The sequence below is a fragment of the Homo sapiens genome, chromosome 4 (genome assembly GCF_000001405.40).
Source record: "Homo sapiens chromosome 4, GRCh38.p14 Primary Assembly".
Taxonomy (NCBI): Eukaryota; Metazoa; Chordata; class Mammalia; order Primates; family Hominidae; genus Homo; species Homo sapiens.
Window position 1 is genome coordinate 117,426,220 of NC_000004.12, and position 22,137 is coordinate 117,448,356.

Consider the following 22,137-nt stretch of genomic DNA (forward strand, 5'->3'; position numbering starts at 1 on the left):
TATTCTAGATAGCAGCCTATTTTATCACTTTTTTCAAAAAAATGAAGGCCTGAATTCATTGATCTTTTGAAGGGTTTTTTTATATGTGCCAGAAATTCTGGTATGTTGTGTCTCTGTTCTCATAAGTCATTCAGGTGCATGTTGTTTAATTTCCATGTAATGTCATGGTTTTGGACAATTTTCTTAGTCTTGGCTTCTATTTTTATTTCACTGTGGTCCGGCAGTGTGTTTGTTATTATATCAATTCTTTTGCATTTGCTGATGATTGTTTTATGTTCAGTTATATGGTCAGTTTTAGATTATGTGCCATGTGGCAATGAGAAGAATGCATATTCTGTTGTTTTGTAGTGGAGAGTTCTATAGAGGTCTATCAGATCCTTTTGGTCCAATGTTGAGTTCAGGTTCTGAATATCTTTGCTAATGTTTCTGCCTTGGTGATCTATCTAATGCTGCTAGTGGTGTGTTGAAGTCTAGCCCTATTACTGTGTTGAAGTCTCAACATGAAGGGGTGTTGAATTTTATTGAAAAGGTTTTCTGCTTCTATTGAGATAATCATGTGGATTTGTCTTTAGTTCTGTTTAAATGATGAATCACATTTACTGATTTGTGTATGTTGAACAAACCTTACATCCTAGGGATAAAGCCTACTTGATCATGGTAGAAAAGATACTTGAAGTGTTGTCGGATTTGGCTTGCCAGTATTTTGAGGATGTTTGCATAAATGTTCATGAAGGATATTGGCCTGAAATTTTTCTTTTTTGTTGTGTTTCTGTCACGTTTTGGTATCATGATAGAATGAGTTAGGGAGGAGCCTCTCTTCCAGAATTTTTTGGTGTAGTTTCAGGAGAAATGATACCAGCTCTACTTTGTACATCTGGTACAATTCAGCTGTAAATCTATTTTGTCCTGGGATTTTTTTTGGTTGGTAGGCTATTTATTACTGATTCAATTTCAGAGCTGATTATTGTTCTATTTAGGCACTCAATTTTTCCTGGTTCAGTCTTGGGAGAATGTCCATGTCCAGGAATTTATCCATTTCTTCCAGATTTTCTACTTGATGTGCATAAAGGGGTTCATAATATTATGTGATGGTTATTTGTATTTCTGCAGGGTCAGTGGTGATATGCCCCTTGTTGTTTCTGAATGTGTTTATTTGAATCTGTTCCCTTATTTTTTATTAGTCTATTTAATGGTCTATTTATTTTATTAATATTTTCAGAAAACAGGCTGTTTAATTTGTTGATCTTTAGAGTGGTTTGGGTTTTTTTGTATCTCAATATCCTTCAGTTCAGCTCTGATTTTGCTTATTTCTTGTCTTCTGCTAGCTTGGGGTTGATTTATTCTACTTTCTCTAGTTCTTTTAGTTGTGACATTAGGTTGTCAAGTTGAGATCTTTCTAACTTTTTGATGTGAGCATTTAGTGCTATAAAATTCCCACTTAACCCTGTGTTAGCCGTGTCCCAGAGATTCTAGCATGTTGCACCTTTGTTCTCATTACTTTCAAAGAGCTTCTTGATTTCTCGCTTAATTTCATGATTTACCCATAAGTCATTCAGGAGCAGGTTATTCAATTTCCATGTAATTGAATGCTTTTGAGTGAAATACGTAGTCTTGGTTTTTAACTTTCCTGTGCTGTGGTCTGAGATAGTGCTTGCTATGATTTAAGTTCTTTTGCATTTGCTGAGGAGTGTTTTACTTGTGATTATGTGATCGATTATATAGTATGTGCCATATGGTGATGAGAAGAATGTATATTCTATTGTTTTCTGGTGCAGAGTTCTGTAGATGTCTATCAGATCTATTTGAACCAATGCTGAGTTTAGGTCTTGAATGTTTTTGTTAATTTTCTGCTTCGATGGTTTATCTAATGCTGTCAGTGGAGTGTTGAAGTCTCCTGCCAATATTATGTGGGAGTCTAAGTCTCTTTGAAGGTCTCTAAGAACTTGCTTTATGAATTTGTGTGCTTCTGTGTTGGGAATATATTCTGAATTTGATTGGTGGCCTTTCTAGCTATGTTGAGGGGGTTCTTATGGATGATATCCTGAAATATGTTTTTCAAGTTGTTTCCATTCTCCCCATCTCTTTCAGAGAGAGCAATGAGTCATACATTTGGTCTCTTTACATAATCCCCTATTTCTCTGAGGTTTTGTTCATTTATTTTCCTTCTTTTTTCTCTGTTCTTGTCTGACTGTCTTATTTCAGAAAGGCAGCCATCAAGCTCTGAGATTCTTTCCTCCACTTGGTCTATTCTGCTACTAATACTTGTGAGTACCTTATGAAATTCTTATAGTGCATTTTTCAGCTTTATCAGGTTGATTGGTTCCATTTTTTTTCTACACTGCCTGTTTTGTCTGTCTGTTCCTGCATTGTTTTAATGTGATTTTTAGCTTCCTTGGAATGAGTCTTAATATACATCTTTAGCTCAATTATCTTTTTTCTTATCCTTAGTCTGAATTCTATTTCTGTTATTTCAGCAGCTCAGCCCAGTTCAGAACTCCTGTTGGAGAGATGATTCAGCTGTTTGCAGGAAAAAAGGCCCTCTGACTTTGTGAGTGTCAGGGATTTTGTGCTGATTCTTTCTCGTCTTTGTGGGCTTGTCTTCCTTCAGTCTTTGACATTGCTGACCTTTTGATTTTTTTTGTTTGTTTGCTTTTATCTTATTTGATTCCCTTGAGGGTTTGATTGTGGTATAACATGGATTCAGTTGACTGGCTTCATTTCCGGAAGATTTTAGGGGACCAACACTGTGCTCCCAAATCCTGAACTGTGTGTTCTAACTGGGGGACATATATTGGGCTCCAACTTTGCTCTCTGGCTTCTCAAGGTTAGGAATCTACTGAGCTCGGGGAATCTGAGGTGCTCCCAGACCCCCAGTTACTACACTCCAATGGATGGTGTCAGCCAAAGCCTTTCACAGTGCAGTGACAGCAGGATCCATCCTCACATTCCAGCAATAGCAGTAGTGGCAGCTGTGGCAGAGTGCTAGTGGGTTCTGCAGTGCCTGCCTCCCTTGCAGCTTGGTTGGTGGGGAAGGTGGGGCTGGCTGGGGACCCCTGCTGGAGACTGTGTGAACAGTTGTGCTGAAGGTAGTGTTGGCTCAGGGACCAGGCAATGGCAGGCGCAGGTCTGGGTAACTTCTTTGTTCCCTTCAAGCAGGAGTGATGGCTCAGGGCAGAGGAGGATCCACTGTTCTCTGCATAGTGTTAGTACAAGGGTGGGGTGCTTGTAGGTATGGGGCTTGCTGGCTCTGTGCCCTCCAAGGCTCTGTCTGCAGTGGCATTCTGGAAGGGAAGGGGAGGCAGACTGGACTCCAATGTGCTGTCAGTGCTAGGAAAGCAAAACCTGCCTGCACAGACATACACCAACAGAGCAATCTGGGGAGTTGCCCTGAGCCCAGGCGGGAAGCTGCAGTATAGGGAGGGAGCATGTGGGCTGGGGCCTCGAAGTAGGTGCTGCCCCACTGGAGCTCTCTGCCAGTTCCGCACAGTCTACCAGTGCAGAAACTATGACACAGGCCCCCAGACCACTCGGGGCTGACCTGCAAGCAGGCATGGTCATGGTGGGGCTGTGGGAGAGGCCAGCACACCAGGGAGCGCTCAGATCAGACTGGCCCTATCTGTTGGACAAGACCACCCTGTAGTGTTCAGATCCAGCAGTTCCTCTAGGGCTAATGTTTCCTATGGGAGCAAGTCAAGCCTAGCAGGATGGCCATCTCTGGCCTTACTCTGCTACAGATGCTCCTGCACCAAACCCTCTGGGATCCACATCAGCTGGCTTACTGCCCCTACCACTTCTCTAAACAGCTCTCCCTGCCAATTCGAATGCCTGTGATGGTTGAGGGGTCTCCTGCTGGTGGTCCAGAGGCCTGTGGTGAGGGCAGATTGCTGTTTGCCATTTCAACTCACCCATTCCTCCAGAGCCATTGGTGGTCAGGAATGAGTCCGGGTGCAGTTTATCTCCATGTAGGGCTCCCAACGTTCTCCTCCTTCTGCCCAGCTTCCATGTACTCCCTCTGTTCACTCTGGAGAAGATCTGTTAGGAGCATGTTAGGAGCATGCCAGTCGTCTCAGTCTTCAGGTAGGAGCTGTTCCACCTGTCTGCATTTAGTTGGCCATCTTACTGGATATGATTCTTTTGCTATACCAAAGCTATGATCAACTGCCAGTCCCTAATGAAAGCAGTGAATGAAAAGGTGTTAGATTGCCATAAGAAAATTCATTAAACATATGATACCCACTGTTTGTCAGAAATGCAATAGCGACAGCCTGCCAGGGAGAAAACAGCAACTTACAATAGTTTATCTTAAGGTGAACTTATCCTTTATGCCAGTTTCATCTTCCAATAATAGTAGATTAAAAGGATGAAACTAAACTGTATTTAGAGCTATTTGGTTACATATATTCATGATTTTAAATAATAGATGTGCTGCATACATTAGATGACCAGGCCCTTATTTTTTTCATGTAAGGTAACATATTCAAAGGTTCCAGGGATTAGAATGTGGACTTCTTTGGGGTATACATTATTCTTTGGGGGTCATTATTCAGCCTACCCCAATAAGTTTGAGGTGATTTATAAGAATGGCCTAGAAAATATGTTACACAGCTATGACTACCATGTTATAAATAAGCCAGTCAAAAGTTATTTTTGCTGTGAAAGTCCGGTGTTTCTGAAAAATGGAAAGTGAAGAACTCAAAAGTCATTTTTGTTTTTTCACAGAGGAACAACTTACATAGTTCTTTTTCTTCTTGTGTGTATGGTATTTTAATATTTTTACCAAATAAGATTTTTCATGAAACTTGTAATTTTCTAATTTTCTTTTAGCAGTTTCTTCTGTTTCTAGAAGTCATATAAGTGTTTTATTAGAAAACTGGATAAATAAAAATAAACATAAAGCTATAAAACAAAGTATGAATTCAGGAATCATATTGCTCAAGAACACACTGATAATATTTTGGTAATATGTCTAATAGTCTGTTTCTCCTACTATTTATATCTAGAAACATTTTGCTTCAATAAAGTACATATTATAATAACTCACATGGATTCAGCACTTAAGATATAGCAGAGACTGTACTATGGACTATCAAAAAGGCCATGAGTACATGGAATATACATATATATATATATATATATATAATGTTAGCCATGCTTAAGTACTATAATTTAATAAATTTTTGAGTCATAGGTTATGACTTTTGACACATTGGGATATATTATTTTTCAGAAAATGTATACTTTCAGTCATGTCAGTGTATGCAGTACTTTCTTGAGGAAGTAGGTTTTTGAATCCAGTTTTTGATTCCTTCTTGACTCCCCCAGTTAGGAGTGTAGAATATGGCCCAAGGAAATCTCATAGAATGACTAGGCATTCCTTGCCTCGTACTATGATTTTTATCTAAAACTTTATGCCAAAGAAGGACACTCTTGCTGTATACTAGAGCACTTTTAGAACATTTAAGAACTCAGATGCCCAACTTCTTGTACTACGGCTACTGAGTTGGGGCCTTCCTATTTAGGAATTAAGAATATGTACTTTTGGTTTTCTGTTCCTGCATTAATTTGTTCAGGATTCTGGCCTTCAGTTCCAGCCTTGTGGGAGCTAAGCATTGAGCACACATGGGATGTGCATATCATATAAATATGGGGACAACAGACAATGCGGACTACTTGAGGGTGGAGGGATTGGAGCGAGGGATGAGTTAAGAAACTACCTATCAGGTACTATGCTCACTACCAAGGTGCCAGGATCCATACTCCAAACCTCAGCATCATCCAATATTCTCAGGTAAAAAATCTGCACATGTATACCCCACATCTAAAATGAAAGTTAAAATTAAATAAAAGATATAGTCCCCAAAGAAAAGAATATGTATTTTTAAAACACTTTTCAGGTAACTAAGATGTACCTCTTGGTTGTAGAATCTCTGAGTAAATGCGAATGCCTCAGGCCTTTAGTTTGACTGCCTCTACTTTCTAGTTCTTTGTTATTAGCAAACATTTTATCTAGTCCTTCTAAGACTGGAAAAATGTATTCTAAAAAAAGAATACTTTTTCTCTTTAATTTGTCCTATTTTGTGTCATTATGATTAAATTGGGGCCCCTTAAACCTGTTTCCAGTAAATGAGTCAAAATTCATTTTTTTTCCCAGTAGATGTGCCATATACCCAGCACAATTTATTGTGAAGATTATCTTTTTGCCTGTTAAACAGCAGTGAAGCTTGTTCATTAATCAGGTCACTGTGTATGTCTGGTCTGACTCTGGATTCTGTTCCATACATCAATTTGTCCTTGAATCAATACCACACTGTCTTAATTGCTAAGCCCTTCATATCAAGGTATACCCTAAAGCTTTTCTTCTTCTTCCTCAAGATTAACTTGTCTATCCTGGGTCATTTTCATTTTTATATACATATTAGAATCAACTTTTAAATTTTCATAAAGAAGGATCTTGATAGTAATTGTATTAAATCTATAGAAGCATTTGGAAGATTAGTATCCTAAAAGTTTTTAATTTTCCAATCAATAAATACTTTATACACTTTCATTTATTTGTCTCATTCAGTGTCTCAATAATACTTTAAATTTATAGATATCCAGTACATCTTTTGTTAGTTATCCCTAAGGAATGTATTATTCTCATAGTATTGTAAATAAGATTTTTATTTTGTTTTCCAATTTCTAATTGTCACTAGTATAGAAATCCATTTGGTAACCTGTGCCCCATGATCTTTTTCAATTTATTCATTAATTCTAATAGATTGCTTATAATACTATTCAATTTCCTAAATATTTTCCTTTTCCTTCTTCAATATTTATATGTTTTATTCTATTTCTCATACCCTATTTTAGTGGCAAGAACATTTGGAGTTCATTAGCAGCAATGGTGGTGTATATCTGTGTCTTGTTCCCATCCTTAAAGGGAAACTATTAACTATTTCACCATTAAATATAATGTTAGCTGTAGGTTTTGTGTGGGCTTTGTATAGTTTATCAGATAATTTCTTTTTATATTTATAGAGTTTGCTAAGAATTTTGATCATGGACAGGTATTGAATTTTATTCATATTGTATTTAAGGCTTTGTTTATGCCTTAAAATTATCATATGGGTTTTGTTTTTTAATCTGTTAACATGATGACTTTATTGATTTTTCAACAGTAAACTAACCTTACATTCATGAAATAAAACTTACTATATAATTGTCTATTAATGTTGGTTGTTATATATAACTTTGATTTGGGAATATTTTTATAGGCTTATGTATATATTTATGAGAGATATTGTCTTGTAATTTATTTTTTCTTTTCTAGTTTTTGTATCAAGGTTATTATAGAATAAGAAAATGATGTGGAAGTTCTTCCAGTCTTAATCTTTGGAAGAATTTGTGTAAAATTGGTATAATTCCTTTCTTAGACATTTGGAAGACTTCCCTTTGAATCATCTGAGTTCAAAAGTGTGTAAAGATAAGTGTTTGTGTGTAGGTATTTAATTTTAGATTCAATTTCTTTAGTGAGACCATTCAGATTATCTATTTATTCTAACGCTAATTGTGGTGAGTTATATATTTTGAGAACTCATCCATTATTGTGAAAATTTTAACTTTATTACTATAAATTCATCATAATGTCTTTTTATCTGTGAGATTTAGGTTGATGTTTTGTTATTTATTCTGATATTGATAACTTACATTATCTCTATTTTTTCTGATAAGACATTAACAAGTTATAATTTTAATCAAAATTTTCAAAGAATGAATTTCTGGATCTAATTTATATTCCCTATTTCATTGCTTTTTCTCTTATCTTTACTATTCCTTTGAGATTAATTTGCTTTTTATCCAACAAGCTTCTTGAACTGAAAGCTTAAATCAATGTTTTGCAACTTTTCTTCCTTTCTAAATTGTGCATTTAGAACTTAAAGTTGTACTTTAAATTTTATTACATGCTTTGCAGACAAACTGCATACTTTACATGACCCATATTGATTATTTAAAAGTCATTGTTTAATCTCTCTGAATTCTGAATCAACACTTGGTCTCGTTTATCAGCTCTGCTTTTTTTCACCTTCTTTTTCACTCATTTTTGCCTGTTTTTGTAATGTCTCAAAAATTTTGAACAGATGCCAGGCTGCATATTAAAAATTATGGAGTCTCTAGCCTCTGTTATTTTTAGCAGATCAAGTGCCAGCAGATCAGTTTCATTCTTGGACTACCGGGTTTGAGGCTTGGTTAAGGATAATCTGTTTCTGTTTCTCATGCATATTATAGCCACTTTAGGTATCTATTGCAAGTACCAAATTACTCCCAAACTTACTGGTTTTAACAACACATTTATTATCTCACAGTCTATATAGGCCAGAAATCTGGGAATGATTAAGCTGGACTTTCTGCTTCAAAGTGTCACATGCTGAATTCCATGTGTCAGCAGGGCAGCAGTCCTTTGACTTCCCAAGGATTACCTGGGGAAGGATCCACTTCCATGCTTATTCATGTGATTGTAGCAGAATTCAGGTCCTTTTGGGCTTTTGGATGAGGGATTCAGTTCCTCATTGGCTGTTGCCTGGAGGCCATGTGACTTTCTCCATAGAGTTGATCACACATGGTGTAAATATGATACTGTGTAATATACCACAGTAGAACACAACCTTTACTCCTGTGGAGTGACCTTCATTCATAAGGCATAGTCCTTCCATTGTCTCAACTGAAGTCTTGAGGTATTTCCTAAAGTCTTTCCTCCATGGTAAAGCTTGAAATTCACTCATTCTCCATTTGGGATAACATAGCTGCTAAAATCTCTGCTCAACAATTCAGCCTCCCAGTTTTGGGAGGCTGATTTGTCTTCTGATTTGTTTCTTGGAATATGTGTCATTTTCATGACCTGAAAATTCTTTATCTCTGGATTTTTGCCTCTCTTGTCCTAGCTTCTGAACTGGGCAGCCCTGAACTGTTCCTTTTGTTCTCTATCGCTTCTGATGCTTCAGTTTTCTGATACGGTACAATCTTCCTTAAATACAATTTTTATAATGTATTCTAGGAAAAATCTGAGGTGAATTCGAGCTAATTTCAGGATTATGGTTCCTAAAAACTTGCCTGTTTGGGTTGCTGTTTAAATGGCTTGTAAAAGCCATTTTATATATTTGTCTAGTAATTTTTTTCCAAGCAAGATGGTTCTTTTGATACAGTATATGTTACTAAAACTATGTATCACTGTTATTCACTCTTATGTTTGAAAGTATTACAAGAATTTTTGAAGTAAAAGCCTTTATATTTTATTACATTAAGTGGCACTGTTTCTCTGTTTTGAACAAGGGGCCTTGCATTTTCATTTTGTACCTTGTCCCACAAATCATCTAACTAGACCTGATTTCTGAGTAATAAACTTTTATTATCTGAATTATATTACTTCCTGAAAACCAATAAACTATTAAAAAATGATTTTCCCATAAAGCATCTTCCCCAGTATGACAGACTTGGTAGCTCTTCTCTAAACCCAGTTTATTTTGTGTCTCAGGCTCCCTGGCCATTGGTGTGAATGTGTGACTGAATGCTAGTCAAAGAGAAATGAGTAAAAGTGTCAAGTCCTACTTCTAGTACTATCCCATAAGAGCCTCCACTCTCTGACTCTTCATGCCTTTCCCCCCTTGATTCAATGCAGAAGACTGCAAAAACCTGGGAAGGCAGGGATAGAAAGGGTGTAGTATAGGATCTTCTTGTAGGAAAGCTGCCTGCTCCTCAGAAATACTGTTTTGGAACTTATTTATATGAATAACAAAATTATAATGTCTTTGACTCATTATCCTCTTTTCGATGTTTATTTCAATATTTAACATCTCCATTAATAGTACAGTCTATCAAACCAAATTTCTTAGTAACCAATATCAGTGTCATCCATTCGTTTCATTTAAAAATCCATTAATTGCCTCAAATGGACAAAGCCTTGATATTAACAGAAAATGTGTGTTGAAGGAAGAAGAAGCTTGGGAAATAAAACTGATGATGTTGCGTATATGTGGTTATTTTCATTGTATCGTATACATCACAATTCTATTGAAACTAAGAGAAGGGACATTTTAATATATTTGAGATAATTCGTTGCCTATATTTTAACATAAAAAAACAAAATATGTGGGAAACTAGATTATTGGTAATAAGTTAATGATTCAGCTCTAAGATAATGATACAGTTTGGCCGTGTTCCCACCCAAATCTCATCTTGAAATGTAGCTCTCAAATTCCCATGTGTCGTGGGAGGGACCCAGTGGGAGGTAATCAAATCATGGGGTGGGTCTTTTCCATGCTGTTTTCATGATAGTGAATAAGTCTCACGAGATGGTTTTGTAAAGGGGAGTTCTCCAGCACAAGTTCTCTCTTTCCTGCCATCATGTAAGATGTCCTCTGCTCTCCCACCATGATTGTGAGGCCTCCCCAGCCATGTGGAACTGTGAGTCAATTAAATCTCTTTCCTTTATAAATTATCCAGTCTTAGGTATGTTTTTATTAGCTGTGTGAGAACAGAATAGAATAATGCAGATAATCTGAATGAAATCTAAAATTATCTTTAATATATTTATGGTAAGAATAATTTGACACATTTGATATTTGTGAAACCTAAATTATGATTTACACTTAGTATAGATTGAAATTAAATGACTAAAAGAAGGACAATTTCAAATGGAATAATATAAACATTAACATAATCACATATTTCAACAAATAGTTTTATTAATTACCAATAAATTATCTCCTTTAAATTTATATAAACACACTTCATCATTTGTCACTCCATTAGAAACCAATTTTCCTATGTATGCTTGTATGTTCTTTCTTCTGCAGTGTTTTGTCAGCCAATAGATTTTGTCTAATGATACTTTATCTGTAACTCCACACTGCCTCTGGGATCACTCAATGCAATTTTTAGAGAATAAAATGAATAGTTCTGTTGGGTTTTACTAACTCTTGAGAGAGTAGGAATGACACCTGCCATAAATTACTCAAGAAATTTAATACAAATAGAAGAAATAGCAGTAAGTTAAAGAAAAACCCTTTCAATTTCATCTGCCTACGGGAAACTGCATATAATCTATCCCTGATGTTTCTATTAATATAGAAATGGAATAGTGCACTGCAAGAGGCAATGTATTATTATATTATACACTGGCATTTTGTGATTAATATGATGGCAAGACACTCATTCTACCTATTAGTAAGCCTCAAGTTAATCTTGAAGGAGGCAGAGTGACTCATTAGGAGTAAAATAATAAAAAAAAAACCCAGAAATGAAGATACAGAAAATGGAATTCAGGAGTATTGAAAAATTAATGAAAATAATTTTTCAAGAAAAAATACCAATTTTCAAATATTTAGAAGACTATACTGTGGGAAGATAGTATATTTATTTAATGGGGCTCTGCTATGAATTGAATGTCTCTCCCAAATTTCAAATTTTTTAAGCTAGAAATTTAATCTCCAAATCACATGTTGATTGGAGGTGGGATCTTTGGGAGGTAATTAGGATTAGATACGGTCATCAGTGTGGGGCTTCCTGGAACTAGTGGCTGTATAAAACAGGAAGAGAGACCTGACTGACATGTATATACTCTTGCCCTCTCACCATGTGAATGCTTTCTGCCATGTTATGACATAGTAGAAAGGCCCTCACCTGATACCAGTGCCACACTCTCGGACTTCCCAGTCACTAGAACAATGAAATAAATACACCTCTATTTTTTATAAATTACCCAATCTGTGATAGCAACAGAAAATGGACATAAGATGGACCCCAAATGGCAGAACTGGAATTATGGGGAAAATATGTGGAATCAGATTTTGGCTCAGTGAAATAGAGTTTGGCATCACACCTTAAGCAAGTCATTTTAGAAAGTACTAAGTTCTTTTCACAGATTGATATTACAGATGGTAGATGTAGTGGGCTGACTGGTAGCCCTCCAAAAGATATGTTCACGCCTTAATCCAAGAACCCATGAATATTACCTTATTTAGAAAAAGAGTCTTTGTCATTATAATTAGCTGAAGGATCTTGAGATGAGGAAATCATCCTGGATTGCCTAGAAGAGCAACAGAAGTCCTTATAAGAGACATACGGAGGAGGAGACAGAAACAGGTTAGGTGATGTGAAGACAGAAGCAGAAATTGGAGTGATGTGGCCAAAAGTGAAGGAAGTCACTAACCACCAAAAGCCAGAAAAGGTATAGAAACAATTTACCTCTAGAGCCTCTATAGGGAGTACAGCTCTCCCAACACCTGGATTTTGGATATCTGGCCATCAGAACTATTGGAGAATGAAGTTATGTTGTTTTAAGCTACCAACTTTGTGGTAGTTTTTCATGTCAGGCATAGAAAACATATAGCTAATGGACAACAATCTAGAATATAGAAGGAAATCAAGAACTGATAGGAAGATTATATTGTGTGGTATTTATATTCCTCTTCCAAAACTTCCTACTACTTTTTTCAAAATTAAAAAAAAAAATATTTAGCATTCTGGAAACATTGATGCTATTCCCTACAGCCTCCAAAAAGGAAATTTTAAAGATCATTACACTGTTTCAGATAGTTGGCATCTAAAATAAATTCAATGAGAACATTTTCCTATTGAAAATTATAGTGGAATCAGTAAAAATTTCAGAAAATTGTGATTAAAATATTTACCAAAGTGCATAACACATTATCTAATCCACAAAGTATTAATGCTTTTTCCTTTTTCTTACCCTTCTTTTCTTTATTTTCTATTATTTTTCCACATTGTGAGCAAACAGACCTCTTTATATCCAAAATAAATTTATCTAATATAAATATTAAGAAAACAGTATAGTTAGAAAAAGTAACAAGTAAAAACTGACAAAATATCTCTCCCTTAGGATCTACAAACGTATCTCTCTTAGGATAAACAAAATAAAAGTAAGAACCACTAAAATATATCTGTCTTAGGATACACAAAAATAAAAGCAAGCACTGCTAAAATGTATCTCTCTTGGGATCTTAAAGTCTTTCTTATTTTATATCTGTAGCTTTACTATTTTCTTTGCCTAACACAAGATGTAAAAGAACTTAACAGAATGATTTGACTTCCTTTTACTCAAATAAACTTGTGCATAGTTTCAGGAGCTCTTATTTTTGTTTAGAGTAGAACTGATCTAATTTCCTAGTTAGCTCACACTCATGCCTAGGAGGTACACGGAATTCCTGGAAAAGGGTACACAGAGAGTTGTTTCAACCTAATAACACCTGTGCTTTTGTGCTCAGGCTTCTGTAGCCAATTGCATAGATAATATACACTTGGATAAATGATACCTGTATGTGAACAACTAAACTTTGGGCTTGATTTTTCTTCCTAGAACTCACTGAAGTAGAACTGTAGAAGAGTAGGATTTTGTTTTGTTTTATACATTGCTTTTTTTTTATTTTTGGAAGCAGTTCAGATTAATTATTGAACAGTGTTTAGGAATCACATGCATGAGTAGAGACAATATTCTCCACATGTTTAATTTAAGCTTTGGTGGTCCTCTGAAACTCTGCCAAATATCACTTATATTTGTCAGTGGAAGGAAATGTTAGTTTAAAATAATACAAGTCTATAAATCAAAATATTTTTCAGTTTACTTTTAAAAGGTTTGTAACGTTTTTACTTGCAATTTTTCCTGATTAAATCCATTTTGGTTTGAAGAGTTGGCCTTCTCTGAAAACACTAGATTTTAGCCAAAAGAAGACAAGTCTGGTTAAAAGATGTGTAAGAGGATCACCAACTTGGCATCACAAGTTAGAAAGTACCAAGATGTTCAGGAGATAATCTTGAATTATAATTAGCTTTATTTTTCTTAAATTACACCATTAAATAGAGCTCCAAAGTTCATAATTAAAATATGTTCTCTTCCTTTCATGTGTTTCTTTATGCACATATGTAGGTATATAAGAAAACAATTCTTTAGTCAACTACAGAAAAAAAAAAGTTGACAGAGAAAAGCTCTTTTTGACATTGTCTCCCTAAATTTTGCTGTTAACTTTGAGTGCCTAATTCACAAAGGAGTACTAAATTATCTGTATAGTCCTGTAGAATGGCTGAGGAAGGTTGACATAAGCACACATACAAATATATACATGCACTTCAAGTGTATAGAAATTTAAGGAATAACGATAGGATAACGAAATGAATATGGAAACTCTTAAATGGAATAAAATACCCCAAGCCTCCGTATTAATTAGAGGTCATAGAGACAGCCCTTGAGTATATTGAGTAACTGTGGGTAGTTCAGAACTAGAAATTAGGAGATGAAATGTAATTATGACTATAACCATTGTCATACTGTCTTCTTTCTATACTACTTTGCACATTCAGCCCATGAATTTGTCATTCCCCTACTGACGTTTCTTACAATCCATACCATTATGGTTACTGGATCCCCATTCCATCATAAATAAACTCTCCTTCATCCTCAACTTCTACACAGTTGGTTTTATACATCTCCTTGTTCCCAAAAGACAGTATTTTTCTTGCAGCCATCTTCAGTGGTGCCTGCTCCTTCCCCATTACCTCTTGTCAGTCATGAACATCGCTCACATCCGTCTTTTAGATGATAAAACACCTTTTATTCTATACCCCAATGATACCCGTATCATTGGACCAACTAGTTATTCCGCATTAGCAACTCCTCCCTGGCCTGCCATTCTTCTAGTTTCTGGATTCATGGCTGGTCTTTTGGTATACCATCACCAGAACCATCAACCAGTCTTTGTTTTTGTCCTTCTAGGAGTCGCTTCAACTTGGATTATTGCTACAATTGGCCTCATCAAATATTATGCCCCCCATATTAAGAAATTCTGAGTGGAATAAAAAAAAATCATGGTTTTTCAAACCTCAACACTTTTTATTTAACAATTTATTTAGCAGTTTCTGCTTCTCAACTTTAGTACATCTCTCCATATTTCCTTCCCCCATTTCCACCTCTTTGCCAACAATAAAAATTAACTTCCAAATTCAGAGCCCAGTTGAAAATTTTCAAGGTTTATCTCCACTTTCTAAAATCTTTGGTGAATACTATTGTTTTTTCATCATTTTTCTCTCCTATGCTATCCTCATCTGTTTTTCTTACCAATTATCTCTGTCTGCTCATACCTTAACATGCTTACCTTAAAAATTCATCCTCAGCCATTTTTCTCCTCTATCTTCTGCCTCTAGATGACTTCATTTACTTCCTTTGAACTCCCATGCTGGCCTCTCCTCTGATTTCCAGACATATTTAATGAATTGTAATATCTGGAATTTCCATAAACACCTAAAAACAATAGGTTACTCGTTAAAAAAAAAAGGAAAATGAAAATATTCTTTACTTTTAACTAGAATTATACTACTAAATTCCTAAGAAAATAAGACTATTCAGTAGAAAATTAGCAGAAGACTCAAACCGTTCCAAGAAGGAATATAAATGTAGCAAAACATGTACAGCTTCTCCAGTAATAAAGAAAATGCAAATAACAGGTGGTTTTGTTTTGTTTGGCTGAAGAATACTTCCATATTAGTGAAGACTAACAAAAACCAATGTTTTGAAAGATAGGAGAAAATGAGTATTCTTATGTGTGGAGTAGGAGAGTTATTTCAGTAAAACTTTTGAGAGGACAGAAGGTATATACTATATAAGTGGAAATTGTAAATGTTAATACTAACCTTTCTGCAGTATACATACTGAGAAATGCAGCATTAGGCAATTTTGTTGTTTTGTGAACATCATATTTACAAAAATCTAGATAGCATAGCCTACCACACACCTAGGCTATAGAGTATAGTCTATTGCTTCTAGGCTACAAACCTGTACAGCATGTTACTGTACTGAATATTGTAGGCAGTTGCAACCCAATGCTAAGTATTTGTGTATTTAAACATAGAAAGGGTACAGTAAAACTAAGGTATCATAATTTTATGGGTCCATCATCATAAATGCTGTTTATTATTGACTGAAATGTGGTTATTTGGCACATGACTGTAGAGTGTTTTTTTCCTCTTTCTTAAATCATTTTAATCTATATTTTTTGCACATGAATAAGTTATTTAGTGGTGATTTCTGAGATTTAGGAGCACCCATCAGTCAAGTAGTGTACATTGTACCCAATGTGTAGTCTTTTATCCCTCAAACCCGAACCCCTACCACCCTTTCCCCCGAGGTTCCCAAAGTCCATTATATCATTCTTATGCATCCTTGTAGCTAAGCTCTCACTTGTGAGTGAGAACATACCATGTTTGGCTTTTGATTCCTGAGTTACTTCACTTAGAATAATCATCTCCAATTCAATCCAGTTTGCTGCAAATGCCATTATTTCATTCCTTTGTATGGCTGAATAGTATTCCATAGTGTGTGTGTATACATATATATATACACACATACACCCACACACACACACATATATATAATGTGTATATATGTATATACACACACGCATTTTATACACACACAAACACACACACACCCCCCACATTTTCTTTATCCACTCATTTATTGACGGGCATTTGGGCTTACTCCATAATTTTGCAATTGCAAATTGTGCTGCTATAAACATGCATGTGCAAGTATGTTTTTCGCATGACTTCTTTTCCTCTGGGTACATAGCCAGGAGTGGGATTGCTGGATCAAATGGTAGATGTAATTTTTGTTATTTAAGAAATTTCCACACTGTTTTCTATGGCAGTTGTATTAGTTTACATTCGCACCAACAGTGCAAAAGTGTTTCCTTTTCATGATATCCACACCAACATCTATTTTGTTTTTATTTTTTGATTATGGCCATTCTTGCAGGAGTAAGGTGGTATCATGTGGTTTTGATTTGCATTTTCCTGAAAATTAGTGATGTTGAGCATTTTTTCATATGTTTCTTGGCCATTTGCATATGTTCTTTTAGAATTGTCAATTCACGTCATTAGCCCAATTTTTGATGGGATTATGTGTTTTTTGTTGTTGTTGTTGATTTGTTTGAGTTCCTTGTAGACTCTGGATATTCCTCCTTTGTCAGATGTATAGATTGTGAAGATTTTCTCCTACTCTGTGGGTTTTCTGTTTACTCTGCTGATATTTCTTTGGCTGTGCAGGAGCTTTTTAGTTTAATTCAGTCCCATCTATTTATCTTTGCTTTTGTTGCATTTGCTTTTGGGTTCTTGGTGATGTAGTCTTTACTTATGCCAGTGTCTACAAGGGCTTTCCTGATGTTATCTTCTAGAATTTTTAGAGTTTCAGGTTTTAGATTTAAGTCTTTGATCCATCTTGAGTTGATTTTGTATAAGGTGAGAGATGAGGAGCCAGTTTTATTCATCTACATGTGGCTTGCTAATTGCCCCAGCACCATTTATTGAATAGGATGTCCTTTTGTCCTTTCTCCATTTTATGTTTTCATTTGCTTTGTTGAAGATCAGTCAGCTATAAGTATTTGGCTTTATTTCTGGGTTCTCTGTTCTGTTCCATTGGTCTATCTGCTTATTTTTATATCAGCACCGTGCTCTTTTGGCGACTCTGGCCTTATAGAATAGTTTGAAGTCGGGTAATGTGATGCCTCCAGATTTGTTCTTTTTGCCTAGTCTTGCTTTGGCTAATTGGGTTCTTTTCTGGTTCCATGTGAATTTTAGAATTTCTTTTTCTAGTTCTGTGAAGAATGATAGTGTTATTTTGATGGAAATGGCATTGAATTTGTAGATTGTTTTTGGCAGTATGGTCATTTTTCACAACATCGATTCTATCCATCCATGAGCATGGCATGTGTTTCTATTTGTGTCATCTGTGGTTGCTTTTGTTTTGTAGTTTTTCTTGTAGAGATCTTTCACCTCCTTGGTTAAATATATTCCTGATTCTTTTCTTTTTTGCAGCTATTGTAAAAGGGGTTAAGTTTTTGATTTGATTCTCAGCTTGGTTGCTGTTGGTGTACGAGCAGATCTACTGATTCATGTACATTAATTTTGCATCCTGAAACTTCGCTGAATTCATTTACCAGTTCCAGGGTCTTTTTGGAGGAGTCTTTAGGGTTTTCTAGGTATACCACCATGTCATCAGCAAACAGTGACAGTTTGACTTCTTCTTTGCCAATTTGGATGCCCTTTATTTGTTTCTCTTGTCTGATTGCTCTGGCTAGGACTCCCGGTACTATGTTGAACAGAAGTGGTGATAGCGGGCATACTTGTCTTGCTCCAGTTCTCAGGGGGAATGCTTTCAACTTCTCCTCATTCAGTATAAAATTGGCTATAGGTTTGTCATAGATGGCTTTTATTACCTTAAGGTATGTCCCTTGTATGCCAATTTTGCTAAGGGTTTTAAACATAAAGGAATGCTGGATTTTGTCAAATGTTTTTTCTGTGTCTATTGAGATGACTATGCGATTTTTTATTTTAATTCTGCTTATGTGGTATATCACATTTATTGACTTGTGGGTGTTAAAGCATCCCTGTATCCATGATATGAAATCCACTTTATCATGGTGGATTATCTTTTTATATGATTTGGTTAGCTAGTATTTTGGTGAGTATTTTTGCATCTATGTTCATCAGTGATGTTTGACTGTAGTTTTCTTTTTTTGTTATATTCTTTTCTGCTTTTAGTATTAGGGTGAAACTTGCTTCATAGAATAATTTTGGGAGGAATCCCTCTTTCTCTATCTTGAGGAATGGTGTTAATATGATTGGTACCAATTCTTCGAATTTCTGATAGAATTCAGCTGTGAATCTGTCTGGTCCTGGAATTTTTAATTGGTAACTTTTTAAGTATTTCAAAGTCGCTGCTTATTATTGATTTGTTCAGAGTTTCTATTTCTTCCTGATTTAATCTAGGAGGCTTGTATATTTCCAGGAATTTATCCATCTCCTCTAGGTTTTCTAATTTATGCATGTAAAGGTGTTCACAGTATCCTTGAATTATCTTTTTCATTTCTATGATATCAATTATAATATTTCCCCTTTCATTTTCAATTGAGTTTATTTAGATAATCTCTCTTCTTTTCTTGGTTAATTTTGTTAATTGTCTATCAATTTTATTTATCTTTTCAAAGTACCAGCTTTTTGTTTTATTGATATTTTGTACTTTCTTTTGTTTGTTTGTTTCAATTTCACTTGCTTCTGCTTTAATCTTGCTTATTTATTTTTTCTTCTGCTGGCTTTGGTTTTGGTTTGTTCGTGTTTCTCTAGTTCCTTGAGGTGTGACCTTAGATTGTCTATTTGTGCTCTTTCAGACTTTTTGATGTAGCCGTTTAATGCTATGAACTTTCCCTTTACCACTTCTTTTGTTGTATCTCAGTGGTTTTGATACCTTGTGTCACTACTCTTGTTCTGTTCAAAGAATTTTTAAATTTCTATCTTGATTTCATTATGGGCCCAATGATCATTCAGGAGCAGGTTATTTAATTTCCATGTATTTGCATGGTCTCGAGGGTTCCTTTTGGAGTTGACTTCCAATTTTATTCCACTGTGGTCTGAGAGAGTACATGATATAATTTCAATTTTCTTAAATTTGTTGACACTTGTTTTGTGACCTATTATATCATCTATCTTAAAGAATGTTCCATGTGGTGATGAATAAAATATGTATCCTGCAGTTGTTGGGTAAAATGTTCTATAAATATCGGTTAAGTCTATTTGTTCCAGGGTGTAGTTTAAGTCCATTGTTTCTTTGTTGACTTTGGTGATCTGTCTGCTGCTGTCAGTGGTATGTTGAAGTCTCTCACTATTATTGTGGTGTTGTCTCTCTCATTTCTTAGGTCTAGTGGTAATTGATTTATAAATTTGGGAGCTTCAGTGTTAGGTGCATATATATTTAAAATTGTAATATTTTCCTGCTGGACTAGTTTTTTAAGTCATTTTATAATGTCCCTCTTTGTCTTTTTCAACTGCTGTTGCTTTAAAGTTTGTTTTGTCTCATATAAGAATAGCTATTGCTGCTTGCTTTTGGAGTCCATTTGCATGGAATATCTTCCCCCAACCCCCCGCCTTTACTTTAAGTTTATGTGAATCCTTATGCATCAGTTGAGTTCATTGAAGACAGCAGATACTTGGTTGGTGAATTCTCATCCATTCTGCCATTCTGTAACTTTTAAGTGGAGCATTTAGGCCATCTACATTCAACTTTGGTATTGAGATATGAGGTACTATTTTATTCATCATTCTGTTTGTTGCCTGAATACCTTCTTTATTTTTTTCATTGTGTTATTGTTTTACAGGGCCTGTGAGACTTATGCTTCAAGGAAGTTCAATTTTGGTGTTCCTCAAGGATTTGTTCCAATACTTAGAGCTCCTTTTAGCAGTTCTTGTAGTGCTGGCTTGATAGCAGTGAATTCTGTCAGCATTTGTTTGTCTGAAAAAGACTGTATCTTTCCTTTATTTATGAAAGTTATTTTTGCCAGATACAAAATTCTAGGCTAATTGTTTTGCTTAAGAAGGCTAATGATAGGACCCTAATACTTTCTATCTTTTATGATTTCTGCTGAGAAATCTGCTGTTAGTCTAATAGGTTTTCCTTTATAGGTTACCTGATGCTTTTGCCTCACAGTTCTTACAATTCTTTCCTTAGTCTTGACTTTAGGTAACCTGATGACTATGTGCCAAGGCAATGATCTTTTTGCAATGAATTTCCCATGTGTTCTTTGAACTTCTTATATTTGGATATCTAGATCTCTAGCAAGGCCAGAGAAGTTTTCCTTAATTATTCCCTCTAATATCCTTTCCAAATTTTTAGATTTCCCTTCTTTCTCAGGAACACCAATTATTCCAATTATTCTTAGATTTGGTGGTTTAGCACCCCACACTTCTTGGAGGCTTTGTTCATTTTTTAAATCCTTTTTTTTCTTTTTTTTTTTTTGAGACGGAGTCTGGCTCTGTCACCCAGGCTGGAGTGTAGTGGTGCAATCTTGGCTCACTGCAAGCTCCGCCTCCCGGGTTCATGCCATTCTCCTGCCTCAGCCTCCGGAGTAGCTGGGACTACAGGTGCCCACCACTATGCCCGGCTAATTTTTTGTACTTTTAGTAGAGACGAGGTTTCACCATGTTAGCCAGGATGGTCTCGATCTCCTGACCTCGTGATCCGCCCGCCTCGGCCTCCCAAAGTGCTGGGATTACAGGCGTGAGCCACCATGACTGGCAAATTCTTTTTTCTTTGTCTTTGTCAGATTGGGTTAATTTGAAAGCCCTGTCTTTGAGCGCTGATGTTCTTTCTCTATTTCTTTAATTCTATTGCTGAGAATTTCTAGTGCATTTTGCAATTCTTTAAGTATGCCCTTCATTTCCAGAAGCTGTGACTGTTTCATACTTATGCTATCTATTTCACTAGAGATTTTTCCATTTACATTCTGTATCTTTTTTTAATCTATTTAAGTTGGACTTCACCTTTCTCTGGTGCCTCCTTAATTAGTTTAGTAGTTAACCTTCTGAATTCTTTTTTCTGGCAATTCAGAGATTTTTGTCTTGGTTTGGATCCATTGCTGGGGAGCTAGTGTGATCTTTTGAGGGTGTTAAAGAATCTTATTTTGTCATACTGCCAGAATTGTTTTTCTTGTTACTTCTCATTTTAGTAGACTGTGTCAGAGGTCACCTATGATACTCAAGGGCTGCTGTTCAGATTCTTTTGTCCCAAAAGGTGCTCTCTTGATTTGGTTCTCTCCCAATTCTTCTGGGGATGTGGCTTCCTGAGAGCCAAGCTGAAGTTATTTTTGTTTCTCTTCTGGATCTAGCCACCCAGCAGAGCTACTAGGCTCTACACTGGTGCTGGGCAGTGTCTGCAGAGTTCTGTGATTTGATCCATCTTCAGGTCTCTCAGCCATGGATACCAGCTCCTGCTCTGTTAGAGGTAGCAGGGGAGTGAAGTAGACTCTGTGAGGCTCCGTGGTTTTATTTTTGTAATGCTTTTGTGTCAGTTAGCCTCCAGCCAGCAGGTGGCGCTTTCAAGAGTGCATCAGCTGCAGTAGTATAAGTAGGATACAAGCTTGCTCTAGGGTCAGGCAATGAGTGGGACCATAGAGCTCCCAAGAGATCATGTACTTGGTATTCAACTACCAGGGTGGATAGAGAAAGACCTTCAGGTGGGGGCAGGGTTAAGGGTGTCTGAGTTCAGACTGTCCTTGAGTGGGGCTTGCTGCAGCTGCTGTGGTGTATCGGGATGTGGTTCTC

General features: G+C 35.9%; 1 long non-coding RNA gene across 1 annotated transcript in view; it reads left to right on the forward strand.

Annotated features, from left to right (window-relative positions):
• Positions 1-2,178: 2,178 nt before the first annotated feature.
• The window catches only part of LINC01378 (long intergenic non-protein coding RNA 1378), a 260,706-nt gene continuing 240,747 nt past the window's right edge, over positions 2,179-22,137 (forward strand). The window contains exons 1-2 of the long non-coding RNA NR_125757.1: positions 2,179-2,264; positions 2,478-2,548. This is a non-coding gene — a long non-coding RNA (long intergenic non-protein coding RNA 1378). The remainder of the gene's footprint in view (positions 2,265-2,477; positions 2,549-22,137) is intronic.